Consider the following 21,488-nt stretch of genomic DNA (forward strand, 5'->3'; position numbering starts at 1 on the left):
ATTAAAAAAAAACAAAAGAAAAATGTGAAATGCCTGTTCATGTGTGACTACTACAATGTCTCAGAACAAACTTCAGAATGTTACTGTTGATAATATTTGCTTTTTTCCCATCAGTTTAAGATATATTCTAGGTATTAAAAAAAGACACACACACACACACACACACACACACACACACACACACACACACACACACACCCTACCAAAAATAAGAAACAAAACTTGAAGGTGGGAAGCAGGTAAAGGAATGGGTTAAAGGGTTGGCTTGGAGACATCTGGCAATGCTTGCCCTCCCCCTCCCTCCTCGTGGATTCTTTACACATTTGCAGGAATGTCTGATGATGCATGAGACTGGCCTCTTTCATCCGGCCTCCTTTCTGGTCTCCAGAACCCTCCGAGGCCCTTTACTGTCGACTCCACTGCAGGGACATGTTAATAAGAAACAGATTTGATACTGGGAATGCTGTCATGGAGAACCCTGGGCTTAGCTCATTCACACTCAGTTTACCTTTAGCGGATCTGGTTTCATGCATTCCTGATCTATTTATGCATGTCTGCCTCTCTAGAAAGACTATAAGGCCCTACCCCTGTGCTCTGTCTCCTCCAGGCACAATGTTTTTGCACACTAAAGCACTGAATGAACGTTTACTAAGTTAAAAAATAATATTTGAAGAAGATTCTTTGTATTATTTATTGTATTACTTGCAATGCAGGATCTGTGGTTTCTGGAAGAATTTAAAGTCACTTATCTCTCTGCTCATGTTAAAACCAAAGGACTCCTAAACCTCAAACTGTAATTGCTGACCTCAAACAACAAACCTTTTCATCAGCTAGAGCAACAAAGTTAAAAACCTGGCTGCCAAATAAACTCTCCTCTCTGTTTGACCGTTAATGGGTTTCAGGAATGTAATTTTAGATACCCCATCATCCAGGGTCAGGTTGCCCTCATTTTGGTGACACTGGGAATGTCTGAAAAATAATCTCTAGCCTTGTATGTATCAGACAAACGGTATCATTGTATCCTTTTTTTTAAGCAGACCTATCTTTTCCCTTCTCTAAATATCATCAAGAAGAGAAGGTAATCAGCCATTTCAGTGGGAAGCTGATATGTGTGGAGAATTGCTACCCACCTCAGCAAATCAGAACATGAATGATGGATTTAAAGGTATATTTCCATGTGTCTAGGTCTAGGACCCACACAAATATAACTAGGCCAATGTGCCATAATTGTTGTTCAAGTATCTCCCAAATTGTATGCCTTGGAAGACCAGTTCTGAGAGATATAAAAGTATGTCTTAAGAAAAAAAAAATTTGTGGTTAATTTGGAAAATTCTGGATCAATTAGAATTAAAGAGGTTTCTTGATTGTAGGGTTTCTTAGAGTCCTCGATATGTTAATAAGCACTGTGATTTCTTAAGAGGTTTACAACCTGTAACTAGGGTAAGATATACTTTTATTGTTTTTAAATTTATTTCTAGAACACCTCATAAAATCCTGGCATATAGTTTGGAAAGGCCAGCAAGCCTCCCCCTTGATTCCCATTTTTTTTTTGTGGAATTCCTAAGCATTGTTGAGAATTTCTGAACTTCAGGATTATTAACAGTACCCTGCGGGCTGGGTGAGGTTTTTTTTTTTTTTTTTTTTTTTTGACAGTGTTTCACTCTGTTGCCCTCTGGTGCAATCACAGCTCACTGCGGACTCGAACTCCTGGGCTTAAGTGATCCTCCCACTTCAGTCTTCCAAGTAGTTGGGACTGCAGGCATGTGTCATGAAGCCCGGCTAATTTTTGTATTTTTTGTAGAGTTGGGGTCTTGCCATGTTGCTCAGGCTAGTCTCAAATTCCTGGGCTCAAGCGATCTGTCCCCTACGGCCTCTCAAAGTGTTGAAATTACAGGTGTGAGCTACCAACCCAGGGCAAGGGTATTTTTAAACAATATCAAGGAAGGAGAGATTTTCCTTGCCTTGGTTTAGCTCCTGAAAAAGCCTTTGGGGATTCCAATGACTTGGAGTCATCTTTGGGATATCCAAAGACGAGCTGGGGCCCTTGATTGATTCTGAAGCCCCAAGACCTCATACTGGCCTGGAATCACCTGCCAGAGCAATAAAGTGATGAAAGTGCCCAGAGGAAGTACAGGCTGAAATAACACATTTAGAGAAGAGAGTAATTTTTAAAAAGGAATAAGGAAAGGAAGTGATTAGTCTTTTCGCTTCCCTATTTCTTCCTCGAGTATTTCTTTAAAGGAGAAATTCCTTGTAATGTCTATTCTTTTTTTGTTTTCATATACTGTAGTTTTTTCCTCCAGCTTCCTAATTTATTAGTCTTTTTCACCACCACCAACAGAATTAGGCTCTACATCTCATGCTGCTAATCACTGAGGCCAAGACTTATGATTCAGACATGCTGGCGGTAGCAGGCTTCTAATCATGTGCTGAAGAAATAAATATAACTTCTAATCATGTGCTGAAGAAATAAATACAAGTTTGGAAAATGGTACAGTATTGGCCTGCCATGCAAAACAGTATTTGGTATAGGTGGAAGGTGTATATAAGGGTCTGGTTTAGTGGAGACACTCACATAAAGACCATTCCTGACAAAGGGGTCTGACTCCCTTTTTTTCTCAGGCCAGGTGATTTCCGTAGTTGATATGCTAATTCGAAAAATCATAAGTAGGATGAACATCAATTACTCAGAAAAAGGGCAGGTGCAGGGGGTCATGCCTGTAATCCCAGCACTTTGGGAGGTGGAGGCGGGTGGATCACCTGAGGTCAGGAGTTTAAGACCAGCCTGGCCAACACAGTGAAATCCCATCTCCACTGCGTGATGGTGAACATCTGTAATCCTAGCTACTGGGGAGGCTGAGGCAGAAGAATCCCTTGAACCTGGGAGATGGAGGTTGCAGTGAGCTACATCGCGCCACTGCATTCCAGCCTGGGCGATAGAGCAAGACTCTGTCTCAAAAAAAAAAAAAAAATTACTCAGAAAAGTTAAATGAACATGTGTATGACTTCCAGCAAGTAAGCTTTTTTATTATATCTTTACATTTATGGGCCTGTATTTACATTTGTTATTGTAACAATATAAAGATAAATACAAACCCAAAAGAAAAACAAAAGAAGTCCTTTATAATTCCACCAAACATTTTAAAAAAGAATTGAGGAGGCCAGGAACAGTGGCTTACACCTGTAATCACAACACTTTGGGAGGCCAAGACAGGAGGATCACTTGAGCCCAGAAGCTCAAGAACAGCCTGGGCAACATGGTGAAAAACCATCTCTACAGAAAAAGAAAAAAAGAGTTAGCTGAGAGTGGTGGCGGGCATGCATCTGTAGTACCAGCTATTTGGGAGGCTGAGATGGGCAGACTGCTTGAGCCTGGGAGGTGGAGGTTACAGTGAGCCGAGATCATGCCACTGCATTCCTGTCTGGGTGACAGAGCAAGACCCTGTCTCAAAAAATAAAAATAAAAAAAATAAAAAAAGGTTGAGGAATTAGTTCATTTAATACTTCATATAAGGAAGGAAAAATAGAAAATCTTGAATCCACGTAATGGTGGTTTGTATTTTTCACTGTATTTGCTTAAGTCAATGTTTTCTTTAGTTCATCTTAATCAAGAAAGAGCTATCCTTAGGAGGACTTTGAAAAATTTACTAATTATTTTAACATATCCTCAGAACAATACCAAGGGAAACAAATTCCTGGCCGCTGGTGAGCTACCTCTGGTAATGTAACTTAGCACAAGATCAAAGGTTAAGTGCCTCTTACCAGAGGAGAGAAGTAATCATTTCCATTATGTGTATTTTTTGGAGTGTTTTTTTTGTTAATACAAAATGAAATGGACTTTCCCCTCTACAAACCATTAATAGCTGTGTATGTGCAGCCAAGGCATATTATGAGTCAATTATAAAGTTCTCATGGTCTCCAGAGTTCAAATGTAATTTTATCATTTTAATTAGTAGTTTATCCTTTTACCAGGCATCAGAGTGTCTTGTGACAATGTACACAATGGCCTACCTTCACTCCCAATTTACAGCAGGATGGGGAGGCATAAGCTCTTCAAGGTTGTTCAATACCTCTTCCCATTTATTTACACTGGCAGTGGTTCAGGTCTTGGGAAGTTAACCCTGTTTCTGCAAGCGAGGGCCAAATGGTCAGGTCTGGTTGAGATCTGCATATGGCAGCTCTTTGCTAGCTACTCAGTACTTTAAAGATTCAAAGCACTCTCCTGTTACTGAGTTCACATATACTCCTTGGGAGAGGGATATTATCTTAGAATTATCCTCCTGAAACAACTTCTGTTATTAACTTTTCTCATTCCACATTAGGAAATCAAGAAGCTCTGTCCCTGGAAATTCAAACAACTTCTCTAGTGTTCCAGAACTAGCAAATGAGGTGGGCCTGAAGCCAACACAGAGCTGGGACCTAGGTTAGTAATTCTGGACTTGGAGCTTCAAGGCTCTGCTCATGCCGATGAAAGCCACGCAGCATGACTATCATGAAGCAGGCACCCTGGATCACTGAAAGCTCTTTAACTCTTGGCTTAAGGTATTCTGGCTTTTTCAGTATAAAAGCCATTACATTTCTTTGCACTGCTAATGTCAAGGAACAAATGTGAGGCAAACTATATTTTCTTTTTCAGAGACAGAGTCTATGTCGCTCAGGCTGGAGTGCAGTGGTGCCATCATAGCTACTGCAGCCTCGAACTCCTGGGCTCCAGCGATCCTCCTGCCTCAGCGTCTTGAATAGCTGGGACTTCAGGTGTACCCTACCATGTCTCACTTATTTAAATTTTTTTTTTTTGTAGAGATTGGGGTCTCCCTATGTTGCTCAGGCTGGTCTTGAACTCTTGGGCTCAAGTGATTCTTCCATCTCAACCTGCCAGCCTCCCAAAGTGCTGGGATTACAGGCATCAGCCATAGTGTCTGGCCACAAACTACATCTTCTAACATTTGATTTTCTCCTTCCATGTACACTAATCTGCATGTTGAAGAAATGCAAAATATTTAATTATACTGCATGGGCAGAAACATGTTAGAAAACGGATATTAATGTGAAGGCAATCACTGCAGAGATGTGTGCCAGTCAGATTAGTGGTACAGCTTCCTGCTGAAGATGATTAAAAAGAAAAGAGAAACTCACACATCCAGGGGTAATTGACTCAGTGCAATTTGGCATATAATTATACTGAGGACCATAAATTCTCTATGATTTCACAGCTGAAGTAAGACGACCCCAATACACTTAAAATGGAAGTATTATTCTCTGCTGAAAATCTGTTTATTGAAAAGGACAAAAGGGAATCCAGATTGGGCTAGGAAGCTGCTAGAGGAGCATTTAGTCTCAGCATCTCAGTGTCATGATCAGTGTCTGATGTTGCACTGTTTGTATCAGTGGCTGATGTAAGCTGATGATGGCATTTTTTTTTATTATAGTTTTAAGTTCTGGGATACATGTGCAGAACGTGCAGGTTTGTTACATAGGTATCCATGTGCCATGGTGGTTAGCTGCACCCATCAACCCATTGTCTACATTAGGTATTTCTCCTAATGCTATCCCTCCCCTAGCCACCCCCCCCTCAGCCCCCAACAGGCCCCAGAGTGTGACGTTCCCCTCCCTGTGTCCATGTGTTCTCATTGTTCAACTCCCACTTATGAGTAAGAACATGTTGTGTTTGGTTTTCTCTTCCTGTGTTAGTTTGCTGAGAATGATGGTGTCCAGCTTCATCTGTGTCCCTGCAAAGGACACGAACGCATCCATTTTTATGGCTGCATAGTATTCCATGGTAAATATGTGCTACATTTTCTTTATCCAGTCTATCATTGATGGGCATTTGGGTTGGTTCCCATTCTTTGCTATTGTGAATAGTGCTGCAATAAACATATGTGTGCATGTGTCTTTATAGTAGAATGATTTATAATCCTTTGGTATATACTCAGTAATGGGATTGCTGGGTCAAATGGTATTTCTGGTTCTAGATCCTTGAGGATCTACACTGTCTTCCACAATGGTTGAACTAATTTACAATCCCACCAACAGGGTAAAAGCATTCCTATTTCTCCACATCCTCTCCAGCATATGTTGTTTCCTGACTTTTTAATGATCGCCATTGTAACTGGCATGAGATGGTATCTCATTGTGGTTTTGGTTTGCATTTCTCTAATGACAAGTGATGATGAACATTTTTTCATACGTTTGTTGGCTGCATAAATGTCTTCTTTTGAGAAGTGTCTGTGCACATCCTTTGCCCACTTTTTGATGGAGTTGTTTTTTTCTTGTAAATTTGCTTAAGTTCCTTGTAGATTCTGGATATTAGCCCTTTGTCAGATGGATAGATTGCAAAAATTTTCTCCCATTCTGTAGGTTGTCTGCTCACTCTGATGAGTTTCTTTTGCTGTGCAGGAGCTCTTTAGTTTAATTAGATCCCATTTGTCAATTTTGGCTTTTGTCCCTATTGCTTTTGGTGTTTTTTTTGTTTTTTTTTTTTTTTTTTGAGACAGAGTCTTGTTCTGTCGCCCAGACTGGAGTGCGGTGGCGTGCTCTTGGCTCACTGCAAGCTCCGCCTCCTGGGTTCATGCCATTCTCCTGCCTCAGCCTCCCGAGTAGCTGGGACTACAGGCACCCACCATTATGCCCGGCTAATTTTTTTCTGTATTTTTTTAGTAGAGACGGGGTTTCACCGTGTTAGCCAGGATGGTCTCTATCCCCTGACCTCATGGTCCACCCGTTTCAGCCTCCCAAAATGCTGGGATTACAGGCATGAGCCACCAAGCCTGGCCTGCTTTTGGTGTTTTAGTCATGAAGTCTTTGCCCATGCCTATGTCCTGAATGGTATTGACTAGGTTTTCTTCTAGAGTTTTTACGGTTTTAGGTCTTATGTTTAAGTCTTTAATCCATCTTGAGTTAATTTTTGTATAAGGTGTAAGGAAGGGGTCCAGTTTCAGTTCTCTGCATATGGCTAGCCAGTTTTCCCAGCACCATTTATTAAACAGGGAATCCTTTCCCCATTGCTTGTTTTTGTCAGGTTTGTCAAAGATCAGATGGTTATAGATGTGTGGCATTATTTCTGAGGCTTCTGTTGTGTTCCATTGGTCTATATATCTGTTTTGGTACCCATACCATGCTGTTTTGGTTACTGTAGCCTTGCAGTGTAGTTTGAAGTCAGGTAGTGTGATGCCTCCAGCTTTGTTCTTTTTGCTTAGAATTGTCTTGGCTATATGGGCTCTTTTTTGGTTCCATATGAAATTTAAAATAGTTTTTTCTAATTCTGTGAAGAAAGTCAGTGGTGGCTTGATGGGGATAGCATTTAATCTATAAATTACTTTGGGCAATATGGCCATTTTCATGATATTGATTCTTCCTATCCATAAGCATGGAATGTTTTTCTATTTGTTTGTGTCCTCTCTTACTTCCTTGAGCAGTGGTTTGTAGTTCTTGAAGAGGTCCTTCACATCCCTTGTAAGTTGTATTTCTAGATATTTTATTCTCTTTGTAGCAATTGTGAATGAGAGTTCACTCATGATTTGGCTCTCTGTCTATTACTGGTGTATAAGAATGCTTGTGATTTTTGCATATTGATTTTGTATCCTGAGTCTTTGCTGAAATTGCTTATCAGCTTAAGGAGATTTTGGGCTGAGACGATGGGGTTTTCCAAATATACAATCATGTCATCTGCAAACAGAGACAATTTGACTTCCCCTCTTCCTATTTGAATACGCTTTATTTCTTTCTCTTGCCTGATTGCCCTGGCCAGAACTTCCAATACTATGTTGAATAGGAGTGGTGAGAGAGGGCATCCTTGTCTTGTGCCGGTTTTCAAAGGGAATGCCTCCAGCTTGTGCCCATTCAGTATGATATTGGCTGTGGGTTTGTCATAAATAGCTCTTATTATTTTGAGATACATTTCATCAATACATAGTTTATTGAGAGTTTTTAGTGTGAAGTGGTGTTGAATTTTATTGAAGGCCTTTTCTGCATCTATTGAAATAATCGTGTGTTTTTTGTCATTGGTTCTGTTTATGTGATGAATTACGTTTACTGATTTGCGTATGTTGAACCAGCCTTACATCCCAGGGATGAAGCCTACTTGATCGTGGTGGATAAGCTTTTTGAAGTGACACTTGGTTCGGTTTGCCAGTATTTTATTGAGGATTTCTGTATTGATGTTTGTCAGGGATATTGGCCTGAAATTTTCTTTTTTTGTTGTGTCTCTGCCAGGTTTTGGTATCAGGATGATGCTGGCCTCATAAAGTGAGTTAGGGAGGAGTCCCTCTTTTTGTATTGTTTGGAATAGTTTCAGAAGAAATGGTACCAGCTCCTCTTTGTACCTCTGGTAGAATTCAGCTGTGAATCTGTCTGGTCCTGGACTGTTTTGGTTGGTAGGCTATTAATTACTGCCTCAATTTCAGAACTTGTTATTGGTCTATTCAGGGATTCGACTTTTTCCTGGTTTAGTCTTGGGAGGATGTATGTGTCTAGGAATTTATCAGTTTCTTCTAGATTTTCTAGTTTATTTGCGTAGAGGTGTTTATAGTATTCTCTCATGGTAGTTTGTATTTCTGTGGAATCAGTGGTGAGATCCCCTTTATCATTTTTTATTGTGTCTATTTGATTCTTCTGTCTTTCTTCTTTATTAGTCTGGCTAGTGGTCTATTTTGTTAATCTTTTCAAAAAACCAGCTCCTGGATTCATTGATTTTTTTTTGAAGGGTTTTTTGTGTCTCTATCTCCTTCAGTTCTGCTCTGATCTATTTCTTGTCTTCTGCTAGCTTTTGCATTTGTTTGCTCTTGCTTCTTTAGTTCTTTTAATTGTGATGTTAGGGTGTTGATTTTACGTCTTTCCCGCATTCTCCTCTGGGCATTTAGTGCTATAAATTTCCCTCTAAACACTTCTTTAGCTGTGTCCCAGAGATTCTGGTACGTTGTGTCTTTGTTCTCATTGGCTTCAAATAACTTATTTATTTCTTCCTTAATTTCATTATTTACCCAGTAGTCATTCAGGAGCAGGTTGTTCAGTTTCCATGTAGTCTTGTGGTTTTGAGTGAGTTTCTTAATCCTGAGTTCTAATTTGATTGCACTGTGCTCTAAGAGACTGTTATGATTTCTGTTATTTTGCATTTGCTGAGGAGTGTTTTACTTTCGATTATGTGGTCAATTTTAGAATAAGTGTGATGTGTTGCTGAGAAGAATGTATATTCTGTTGATTCAGAGTGGGAGAGTTCCGTAGATGTCTATTAGGTCCACTTGGTCCTAATAGACCAAGTCCTGAATTTCCTTGTTAATTTTCTGTCTCATTGATCTGTCTAATATTGACAGAGGGGTGTTTAAGTCTCCCACTATTATTGTGTGGAAGCCTAAGTCTCTTTGTAGGTCTCTAAGAACTTGCTTTATGAATCTGGGTGCTCCTATATTAGATGCATATATATTTAGGATAGTTAGCTCTTCTTGTTGCATTGACTCCTTAACCATTATGTAATGCCCTTCTTAGTCTTTTTTGATCTTTATTGGCTTAAAGTCTGTTTTATCAGAGACTAGGATTGCAACTCCTGCTTTTTTCTTGCTTTCCATTTGCTTGGTAAATATTCCTCCATCCCTTTATTTTGAGCCTATGTGTGTCTTTGCACATGAGTTTGGTCTCCTGAATACAGCACACCGCTGGGCCTTGACTCTTTATCCAATTTGCCACTCTGTGTCTTTTAATTGGGGCATTTAGCCTGTTCAAATTTAAGGTTAATACTGTTTGTGTGAATTTGATCCTGTCATTATGATGTTTCCTGGTTATTTTGCCCATTAGTTGAAGCAGTTTCTTCATAGTGTCAATGGTCTTTACAATTTGATATGTTTCTGCAGTGGCTGGTACTGGTTTTTCCTTTCCATCTTTAGTGCTTCCTCCAGGAGCTCTTGTAAGGCAGGCCTGGTGGTGACAAAAATCTCTCAGCATTTGCTTGTCTGTAAAGGATTTTATTTCTTCTTCACTTAAGAAGCTTAGTTTGGCTGGATATGAAATTCTGGGTTGAAAATTCCTTTCTTTAAGAATGTTGAATATTAGCCTCCACTGTCTTCTGGCTTGTAGGGTTTCTGCAGAGAGATCTGCTGTTAGTCTGATGGGCTTCCCTTTGTGGGTAACCCGACCTTTCTCTCTGATGATTATGTGTCTTGGGGTTGCTCTTCTTGAGGAGTATCTTTGTAGTGTTCTCTGTATTTCCTGAATTTGAATGTTGGCCTGTCTTGCTAGGTTAGGGAAGTTCTCCTGGGTAATATCCTGAAGAACGTTTTCCAACTTGGTTCCTTTCTCCCCATCACTTTCAGGTACACCAATCAAACATAAGTTTGGTCTTTTCACATAGTCCCATATTTCTTGGAGGCTTTGTTCATTCCTTTTCATTCTTTCTTCTCTAATCTTGTCTTCATGCTTTATTTCATTAAGTTGATCTTCAATCTCTGATATCCTTTCTTCCGCTTGATCGATTTGGCTATTGATACTTGTGTATGCTTCACGAAGTCCTCGTGCTGTGTTTCTCAGCTACATCAGGTCATTTATGTTCTTCTCTAATCTGGTTATTCTAGCTATCAATTCCTCTAACCTTTTTTCAAGGTTCTTAGCTTCCTTGCATTGGGTTAGAACACGCTCCTTTTGCTCGGAGGAGTTTGTTATTACCCAACTTCTGAAGCCTACTTCCATCAATTCGTCAAACTCATTCTCCATCCAGTTTTGTTCCCTTGCTGGCGAGGAGTTGTGATCCTTTGGAGGAGAAGAGGCATTCTGGTTTTCGGAATTTTCAGCCTTTTTGCACTGGTTTTTCCTCATCTTCGTGGATTTATCTACCTTTGGTCTTTGATGTTGGTGACTTTCAGATGGGGTTTTTGTGTGGATGTCCTTTTTGTTGATGTTGATGCTATTCCTTTCTGTTTGTTAGTTTTCCTTCTAACCTGCCCTCTGCTGTAGGTCTGCTGGAGTTTTCTGGAGGTCCGCTCCAGATCCTGTTGCCTGGGTATCACCAGCGGAGGCTGCAGAACAGCAAAGATTGCTGTTCTTTCCTCTGGAAGCTTCATCCCAGAGGGGCATCTGCCAGATGACAGCCAGAGCTCTCCTGTATGTGGTGTCTGTTGACTCCTGCTGGGAGGTATCTCCCAGTCAGGAGGCATGGGGGTCAGGGACCCACTTGAGGAAGCAGAGTGTCCCTTAGCAGAGCTTGAGCACTGTGCTGGGAGATCCACTGCTCTCTTCAGAGCTGTCAGACAGAAACGTTTAAGCCTGCTGAAGCTGTCTCCATAGCTGCCCCTTCCCCCAGGTGCTCTGTCCCAGGGAGATGGGAGTTTTACTTATAGGCCCCTGACTGGGGCTGCTGCGTTTCTTTCAGAGATGCCCTGCCCAGAGAGGAGGAAGCTAGAGAGGCAGTCTGGCTACAGTGGCTTTGCTGAGCTGCGGTTCAAACTTCCCCATGGCTTTGTTTACACTGTGAAGGGAAAACTGCCTACTCAAGCCTCAGCAATGGTGGACGCCCCGCCCCTGACCAAGCTCAAGCGTCCCAGGTGGACTTCAGGCTGCTGTTCTGGCAATGAGAATTTCAAGCCAGTGGATCTTAGCTTGCTAGGCTCTCTGGGGGTGGGATCCGCTGAGCTAGACCACTTGGCTCCCTGGCTTCAGCCCCCTTTCCAGGGTAGTGAAAGATTCTGTCTCGCTGGTGTTCCAGGCACCACTGGGGTATGAAAAAACTCCCGCAGCTAGCTAGGTGTCTGTCTAAATAGCCACCCAGTTTTTGTGCTTGAAACCCAGGGCCCTGGTGGTGTAGGCACCCAAGGGAATCTCCTGGTTTGCGGGCTGTGAAGACCATGGGAAAAGCATAGTATCTGAGCCGGAACGCACTGTTCCTCACAGCACAGTCCCTCAAGGCTTCCTTCGGCTAGGGGAGGAAGTTCCTCAACCCCTTGTGCTTCCCGAGTAAGGCAAAACCCCACCCTGCTTCAGCTCGCCCTCTGTGGGCTATACCCACTATCTAACCAGTCCCAGTGAGATGGGCCGTGTACCTCAGCTGGAAATGCAGAAATCACCTGCCTTCTGTGTTGATCTCACTGGGAGCTGCAGACTGGAGCTGTTCCTATTCAGCCATCTTGCCAGCCACCTAGCATTTTATTTTATTTTTTTAAAATTTTAATTGTTTTTTGAGACAGAGTCTCTGTCTGTTGCCCAGGCTGGAGTGCAGTGGTGTGATCTCAGCTCACTGCAAGCTCTACCTCCCAGGTTCACGCCATTCTCCTGCCTCAGCCTCCCGAGTAGCTGGGACTACAGGCGCCCACCACCACGCCCGGCTAATTTTTTGTACTTTTGGTAAAGACGGGGTTTCACCGTTTTAGCCAGGATGGTCTCTGTCTCTTGACCTCATGATCCGCCCACCTCGGCCTCCCAAAATGGTGGAATTACAGGGGTGAGCCATCACGCCCAGCCGACTTTGTTGCCCAGGCTGGAATGCAGTAGTGGGATCATAGCTTACTGCAGCCTTGACCTCCTGGGCTTACGTGATCCTCCTGCTTCAGCCTCCTTAGTAGCTAGGACTACAGGAGTGCACTCTGCCATACCAGGCTAAGTTTTAAATTTTTTGTTGAGGTGGGGTTGTGCTATGTTACCCAGGCTGGTCTTGAATTCCTGGCTCAAATGATCTTCCAGGCTCGGCCTCCCAAAGTGCTGGGACTATAGGTGTGACCCACAGCACCTGGCCTGATGATGGCTTTTTAAGTGTACTAATGATCTCATCAGAGGAGCCAAATGCCACATGACTCAAGAAGAAAGAACCAAACAGTCCGGATCCAGGGTGAAAGCCTTCTTCAGCTATTCTTCATTCTGTAGTGTCTATGTGTGGTGTTCCCGTTAAGGGTGAGAAGGGAAAGCAATGACCCTGTGTTGGGGCCTCCAAAAGCAATCACGTCCCTCCCTACAAATCATTGAGAATCCTGGTTGCTGAAGAATGTTAAAATAATAATATGTGATTAGGAGAATGACAGTGCTGCAACATCAAAGAAAAAAGCCGGGCAAAGCAGAAGGATTCGACCCATGCTTATGTGATAAATTTGGTGCCAGCTAGTTGAGCTGAGGAATCTGAGAGATTAGAAGTTGTTGGAGAATCTGTGGTTTCAGCTAAAGCAGCAGAGAATATGGCCAAGGAGTCCATTTGGGTCTAAAGTAGAGAAGAGGTTGGTGCAGAGAAGCTCTGTGGGCTGAGTCCAGGAGACTGTTTGGACTTTGGGTGATAAAGAAGAGAGAAGATACCATCTGAAGCTGGGTTGGTATATTTTGGGTTCAGAGCAAAGAGGGACCTGTTTCTCTAGGATGAATTGAGGTAATTCTGCTGCGATCTGGCAGATGGACATAGAGAGAGATAAGACAAGATGACCTCAAGAGTCAAGAGTGAGAAGAGTCGTAGGAGGGGCTCTGTGTGTGTGAGAGACGGAGAGACATAGGGAGTTCTTGAAGTGACTGTTTAAGATTTCAAATGTGTGCCAAGATATCGGGGTAAGGTTGAGATGTATACATTTATGTTATTCTCTATGTATGAGTACCCTGACACTACCTTTATTTTAATTAATTAAATTAATTATTTATTTACTTTTGAGACAGAGTCTCATACTTGTCCCCCATGCTGGAGGGCAATGGCACAATCTCGGCTCAATGCAACCTTTGCCTCCCGGGTTCAAGCGATTCTCCTGCCTCAGCCTCCCAAGTAGCTGGGATTACAGGCGTCTGCCACCACGCCCGGCATGAAGTTTCACCATGTTGGCTAGGTTGGTCTCGAACTCCTGACCTCAGGTGATCCGCCCACCTCGGCTTCCCAAAGTGCTGGGATTACAGGCGTAAGCCGCTCCTGACGTCTACCTTGAATTTTAAAATAGCAGGTGTGCTTCATGGTGCTCAATTGGATATGCTTCACAGGAGTAAACATGTTTGGGAAATGTTATCAAAACCAGGAAGGCATAAATTGCTACCTTTCTATGGGATGGCAATAGACAAGTTCCCAAGAGAGGCAGCAACAGACCCCTAGGGGAGAGCCTGGCAGGGTTGTGGACTTCCTGCATGCAGGCGCCCTAGGATCCTGGGCTTCTTCCTAGACCCTTCCCTGGGTTTGAGAGACAGGGGAGCGAGGCAGGCTATGGGATCCTATATGTATCATCTTAGAAGTAATCAGATACAACAAGGTAGCTGGCATCTTAGCAAATCACACAGCTGGAAGACTTTAAGTAAATCTCTGTGGGGAGCCAGAGGGCTCAGATCTGGAAGGAGACAGCTGCTGGATGAGGAATAAGTAACAACTGAAAAGTCAGGGCAGCCCAGTGGCAGGCCCCTTACCAGTGGGGTTGAGGAGAATGACAGGCTCGCTCCTGCAGCCACTCAGGTACAGGCAGTTCATCCAGGAAGCAGTAAGGGACAGAGGGAGAAGAGAGAGGACAGGGATCCAAGTCCCAGAAAGGAGTATAAGATGGAGACTTTGTCTTAGAAATTGACATGAAAGCTTACTTGCTAGGACAAAGGCAAGCAAGGGTCTCTGGAGTGTTCTCAATTCTGTGAAGGCAGGATCAGCCCAGAGCTGGTTAAGATGTGGAGCCTGATGGTGCCAACAGGTCATGAGGCCATTCAGGGAAAACAAGGGTTAGGAAGGAGGATGGGGACCCAGGCACATGATGGCACTAGAGGTCCTGAATTCCAAATTCCAGAATCTTTGAAGTGGTGTCAAGATTGTGTCTCAGGATCACCGGATATAGCTGGTCCTTGGGATGGAATGTGGCGCTGTCCTGACAAAAGACCTGAACTTGCCAACTGAGAGCCTTTGATTCACGTGCTCTGAATTTTATTGCATTTACTCCAAATGCCACTGGGCAGTTGTCCATGCATAGGCTGGAGAAATTAATAGGAAGGGCAAGAAAACATGAGAAGTATCATAAAGAAATACTATAAAGGACAAATAAATGAGACTGGTAGTGAACTAGACAGACACAGAAAATAGAGGACAGAAATTCCCAGAACTGCTTCAAGCACGAAAGTGCAGTGGCCCTGATCTCTGTAGAAGGAGGAGTGTGAGGAGGATGTGTGTTCAGAGGAGAGCGAGTGGCTGTTGTCCACTTGTTTCTTTTTAGAAGACGGAGGGATATTTGAAAGTTCACTAGATATGGACACATTCTCTGCATTCTTCTTCTCTTTTCGTTCTTTTTTGTTTTTTGTTTTTGTTTTTTAATTCTAGAAAAGAATTGTTTCTTATTTTCCTCCCGAAGATGCAACCAAATGCCCTCTTTTCTGGAAACATTTTAGTTGCAGCTTCACAGACTCCATTTACGGTTGACATGCATTCTTTCCCCTATGAACACACCTCAGCAGCCGCCAGAGGGAGACTTTCCACACACGGTTTTTGCGAAGAGAATTTCCTTGGAGATTACTGCACCCTACATGATACAAATTCCTCCCCACGTTCCCCTTCACAGGCAGGGCTTCTAATCTTGACAGTTCCCAGAGCAGCAGTCATGGCTATATCAGGCAATTATACCATTGGGAACATTAGGGCTGCTTTGTAAAACCATAAGCACCCAAGAACAGATACTTTAAAAAATGTAAAAACAAGACAGCAGTGACAGCAGAAAGGACACAGCAGCTGAGTCACCTCACTGCATTTCTCCACATCCTAGCCCCTAGGAGGATGCTCTGCGGGGCCCACGGGAAGGGCTGAGTGCCACATGCCAGGGACCCCAGAGGTTGGCAAGAATGGCTTTGCCTAGAGACCATGCTTCCTTTCAGGTGTTGCAGGGAGAGGTGGCAATTCTGTTTCCCACATTAAAGAAAAAATTGACCGGGTGTGGTGGCTCATGCCTGTAATCCCAGCACTTTGGGAGGTCGAGGCAGGTGGATTACTTGAGGTCAGGAGTTCGAGACCAGCCTGGACAACATGGTGAAACCCTGTCTCTACTAAAAATACAAAAATTAGCTGGTGTGGTGGCAGGCGCCAGTAATCCCAGCTACTCGGGAGGCTGAGGCAGGAGAATCGCTTGAACCCGGGAGGCAGAGGTTGCAGTGAGCCGAGACTGCACCACTGCACTCCAGACTCCAGCCTGGGTGACACAGCGAGACTCCATCTAAAAAAAAAAGAAAAAGAAAAAATTAAATTTCATGACTTAGTGAGAAATGGTCATTTTGGGGGTCCATTGCTTGATTTTTTTTTTTAAATCTTCTTAAACAACTCTGAATTAAAATGTCTGAGAGAACACAGTGACTCATGCCTCTCCACTTCCCAGCTTTCCAACTGAGCAGCCCACTGGGTTGGAGGTATCTTGCCAAGAGGGAAGTATTTTTAATTTGGGCTTTATCTGTCACTCAGCTGTGGTCATAGAGACTGGCAGGAATGCATGCAATTAGAAGAAGAAAGAACACCTTTATGATTCCATAATATTAGTATTTAATGCCTTTTGGATGTTTTGGATAGCAGTCTTGTGTAAAGAGACAAGACATGAATACATGCAAAAGCAAATGAGAAAAGTCAGCATTTATAACACTATATTTGGGGATTCCAGAATTGGGTAATAGAGGACAAAAGTGTGCATCTCTAAGGAGTTATTTCTGTAGTTCAGTTCACAAACTGCAGAGTGGAATAAGCTTAGCAGATAGAAATAAGACATTCAGTTTTTTATTAGAAGAGAAACACACATAATTTGGTAGGGCTATTTAAATTTTTGAGTCAAACGAATTTTGTTGGCATGATGACTTCAGCGAACCATCTGCAAGGCTATCTGAAAGGACTCTAAAATAAATGAAGGGATTATTCCAGTTTATTTTGTGGAAAGAAACATTTTCAACTTTTCAGGCTACTTTTTTTTTTTTTTTCCAGGAAACTTCAGGGGGTTAGAATGCAGTTTTGCTTTGCTCTGTATACCTCCTTGTCAACAGCATTGTGCTTGTATGGTGCAGTATTATAGTTGCAATGAGTTATCTGTATTTATCCCTTAAAAATTTGCTGGAAAATATGGAGCTAAACATATCATACTGATTTAGTCGCAGTATAATTCTTCATAAAAGGCTACTCTGCCCAAACCATCAGACCCCAAGGAGCATTAAAATATTGTTTCACCAAGGGCCCAGGACTTAAACACAATTCCAGACTCAAAATGTCATTTTAACTAAGGTGACCATATATCCCAGTATAATAATAATAATAGTAATTATTATTATTATTATTATTTTTGAGACAGAGTCTTGCTCTGTTGCCCAGGCTGGAGTGCAGTGGCTCGATCTCGGCTCACTACAACCTCTGCCTCCTGGGTTCAAGTGATTCTCCTGCCTTAGCCTCCCTAGTAGCTGGGATCACAGGCCTGTGCTACCACGCGCAGCTAATTTTTGTATTTTTAGTAGAGATGAGGTTTCACCATGTTGGCCAGGCTGGTCTCGAACTCCTGGCCTCAGGTGATCCTCCCTGCTTGGCCTCCCAAAGTGCTGGGATTACAGGCGTGAGCCACCGCGCTCGGCCCCCAGTATAATTATTAATGGTGCATTTTTTTTTTTTTTTGAGATGGAATCTCACTCACTCTGTCGCCCAGGCTGGATCGCCCAGGCTGGATTGCCCAGGCGCAATCTCTGCTCACTGCAACCTCTGCCTTGGGGTTCAAGTGATTCTCCTGCCTCAGCTTCCCAAGTAACTGGGATTACAGGCACTCACCACCATGCCTGGTTAACTTTTTGTATTTTTAGTAGAGACAAGTTTTCACCATATTGGCCAGGCTGGTCTTAAACTCCTAACCTCAAGTGATCCACCCACCTCGGCCTCCCAAACTGTTGGGATTACAGGCGTGAGCCACCACGCCTGGCAAATGGTGCATTTTTCACACTCAGTTTGGAAGATACAATAAATGGCCAGCATGCATTTAATACCAGCCCTGAAGCTTGCAGGGTGATGGACACATAAGGGCCATTGTGTCTCCACACTCAGGAACAGCATTGATGTGCTTAATGAGGACAGGCTGACTCCTTCCCTTCAGCCTTCCTGCAAAGAGCAAGCATCAACAGCTCCCGGGCAAAAATAAAAGGCCAAGGAGCTGGAAAATAGGATATAAATTTTCTTACCCAAAGCTTTCTCACCAAAGCTTGTAGGTATGAAAACGTAATGTTAGTCTGCAAGCATAAATGTTGATGTTGGAGATGGAGCTTATCGAAGGCTTGCACATGTGAGACTCTGAGTGACGTCAGTGATGTGTTGAGCAACATTGTGATCTGGATGCAGAGAGAAACTGAAGAGATGACAGAATGATCTGATACAGACCACAGAGAGGCGACTCCAGCCAGAAGGGTATGTTGACTTACTAGGGGCAAGTAAGCAAGAAACTTCAGGAAAGCACACAGCCCTAAACTAATACGTCCTGGTAGAAAAAAGTTTCCCCAAATGAGAACTTGACAAAGAGGTATTCAAAAGAATACCAACATCTACAAGATATCAGTGCCACTGAGTTTGGGAATGGGCGGAAAAGGAATTTTAATATGGAATTTAAGAGAAGAACTGAGTTCAGCAAGGGAGAACTGAATGACATCAAAGTATTACGCATGCAATTGTGGGTTACATGGAGAATATAATGGAGAAATGGGTTGTTAAGGGACTGATTAATTAGTAAGCCAAGATCTAGTATTTGTTTGCTTATCTCTTATTTACCCACCTGAACCCACCTATCTGAATACAGTTTATATCTTAATATTTCATGACTCTTGCAAGTTCTCTCATTGTACCTCTACGCTCTAAGAAAAGAAAGGGAGAAAGACGGTGGTGTGAAGATCTCTATCTTTGGAAGAGAACTACTTCTCATGCTTTTGATGGAAGCAGAAGAAAATGGACCCTAGACGGGGTGCAGTGGCTCATGCCTGTAATCCCAGCACTTTAGAAGGCCGAGGTGGGTGGATCACTGGAGGTCAGCAGTTTGAGATCAGCCTGGCCAAAATGGTGAAAACCCATCTCTACTAAAAGTACAAAAATATTAGCCAGATGTGGTGGTGCGTGCCTGTAATCCCAGCTGCTCAGGAGGCTGAGACAGGAGAATTGCTTGAATCTGGGAGGCAGAGGTTGCAGTGAGCCGAGATCACGCCACTGCACTCCAGCCTGGGTGACAGAGTGAGTGAGACTCCATCTCAAAGAAAAAAAAAAAAAAGAAAACAGACCCTAGATTATCTTGTGCATGTCTTTTCATTGCGCTTAGAATACTACACTGTAATCGTGGATATATTTGTCTGTTTTCCTGCATTGGTGCTGCGTTCCTGGAAGGTAGAAATCAGTTTCTATGAAGGCAAGGATTATGTCTGCCTGATTGAAAGGGGCTTCTTGGAGCTCTTTGGTCACATTAAACGGGCACAGGAATAAAGTTCTTCTAAAGAAGGGATGTTGGGGCCACTGGGTGACTTGGTGCTTAGGAGCAGAGGACTACCACAGAAGGAACCTCTTCTTGGCCAGGTCTGCAATCTCTTTTGAAATTCAGAATGACATTGTTTCATCCATGAGAAAATGGCAAAAAACTGCATACAACTCATCCTTTGTAATTCCTTTTTTTTTTTTTGAGACAGGGTCTCACTCTGTCACCCAGGCTGGAGTGCAGTGGCGTGACCCCAGCTCACTGCAACCTCCACCTCCGGGGCTCAAGCAATCCTCCCACCTCAACCTCCAGAATAGCTGGGACTACAGGTGTGCACCACCACACCCAGCTAATTTTTGTACTTTTCAGGAGAGACGGGATTTCACCATGTTGGCCAGGCTGGTCTTGAATGCTTGACTTCAAGTGATCCACCTGCCTCAGCCTCCCAAAGTTTTGGAATTACAGGCATGAGCCACTGTGCCCAGCTGTAATTCCTATCTGAGCAAGAACACACATCTGACCGTTGTAAAACAAAATGTTTTTTATTGTGAGAGCTGTGAATTCACCAAGTTGAAGTTCATATGGGGTGATCTTTACCCATTTTGCCTGAGTGGTATCAGGGGTGGAGGAGTCATGTCTTCCTACCCTAGCGCCCAGGATTCCAGCTTCTTGTCAAGGCTCCCTGCAAAGGACAATACAAGTGTCTCATTTCTGCTCCGTTTCCTGCCTCTTCCTCTCCAAGAGCACCTTCAGGAAGGGTGGAGGATGAGGGAATCTGTTTGCGATGGGCATCTGGACTTAAGTGGCTTTAAATTTTGGGGCACACTCTACAACAAGAATTTAAAAGCTTAAGTAAGCACAATCGTAAGTAAGCTAAAGCTTGGAAATGGTAATGAAGGAAAAGGATACAAAAGGACCTGAATTAGCTTTTTCTTGGAGAAAATAAATTGTAAGAGCGTACTTGACAGTACGCGTAAAGAGACTCCTCATTGTGACTCAGATATGACTTTCTGAAGCTTCTCTCCCAGGTGCACATTAGGTGGAAGGAAGAAGGGAGAGAGGACCAGGTTTCTTTAAAAACAGATTTTTCAGGGAAATCTCTGTCTGCCTTTGAGATGCCTTACACCTCTTCAAAAGCCTACAGTTTGGTTGAATCCACTCTCCAAAAAGACTGGGACAGAAAAAAATTTACAAAGTCTATTTGTTTAGTTAATTTATTCAACAAATATTTACTGAGTATTTATTATATGCCAGATACTGGTTATACAACCGTGGAAAAAACATAGTCCTTCCTTCAAAGTGCTCCTATAAATATACACTTGCAAATGATGGCAAGTGCTATGAAGAAAAACTACATAGAAGAACCCAAGTCCTGGGCCTAAATAAAATGAGAAAGCTGCCGTGCAACCTGACATGCACTCCAACCCCCTACACACCTTCCTTCACTCTGTGCTGGCCCAATCTGCCTCCAAATATTTACCGAAGACACCCCTTTAGGAGCCTTCCTAAGACTGAAGAATGTATTTTAAGAATGCTTCACTATACACCAGTAAACCACAGAGCAGTATTGTGCCAGCTCCTTTGATCTGATAAGCTTTGTTCGAATGTGAGCTGAACTGTTAGCATGTTTGACCTGAAGTTGAGTTCTCAACAACGTACCAGTAGAGTTGAAAGTAATTGCACATGTCCACTGTATACAATCCCTTGGTCATTTAGGGAGACAGTACACCAGGCTTTTCAACATTTTTTCAGTCTGTGCAGAACATGTACATTTGCACTGGGTCCTAGAGACTCACTGTAAAGCAGCAGTGCAGAAATTGAAGATTTAGCACATGGTATTGACATGAAAAGTCAATGGAAAAAGTAGGTTTCCATGCAAGACTGTGAACCCCTCCAGGGCAGGCACGATTTCCCCCAGCCCTGCACCCGGGGTTTGGCACAGAGAAGTGTTCAGTGTTTGCGGGACTGAAGGATTCAATAATACTTGATATTCCTCTTTTCTCTGCATTCCTACCGTTGCCATGCCCAGTTAATACTGGAATTAGAAGTAGACAGCATGGGCATAAGGGTATGATCTCCTGCCTCTGAGATCTAAGGAGCCCAGGACAGGCCCAAACCTGGTTTCCTTTATACATCAGT

General features: G+C 43.0%; 1 protein-coding gene across 35 annotated transcripts in view; it reads right to left on the bottom strand.

Moving 5' to 3' along the window:
• DLGAP1 (DLG associated protein 1) overlaps positions 1–21,488 on the bottom strand; it is a 959,276-nt gene that overhangs the window by 192,439 nt on the left and 745,349 nt on the right. For 2 of the 35 annotated variants that reach the window (XM_047437936.1, XM_011525771.4), the window contains exon 8: positions 19,876–20,031. The exons of the other annotated variants lie outside the window; for them this stretch is intronic. In XM_047437936.1, coding sequence (XP_047293892.1) covers positions 19,991–20,031 — 41 coding nt within the window. In that variant the 3' untranslated portion in view covers positions 19,876–19,990. Of the gene's footprint in view, positions 1–19,875; positions 20,032–21,488 lie in introns of those variants that run through there. 35 annotated transcript variants of the gene reach the window in all.

Source organism: Homo sapiens, chromosome 18, assembly GCF_000001405.40.
Source record: "Homo sapiens chromosome 18, GRCh38.p14 Primary Assembly".
NCBI lineage: Eukaryota > Metazoa > Chordata > Mammalia > Primates > Hominidae > Homo > Homo sapiens.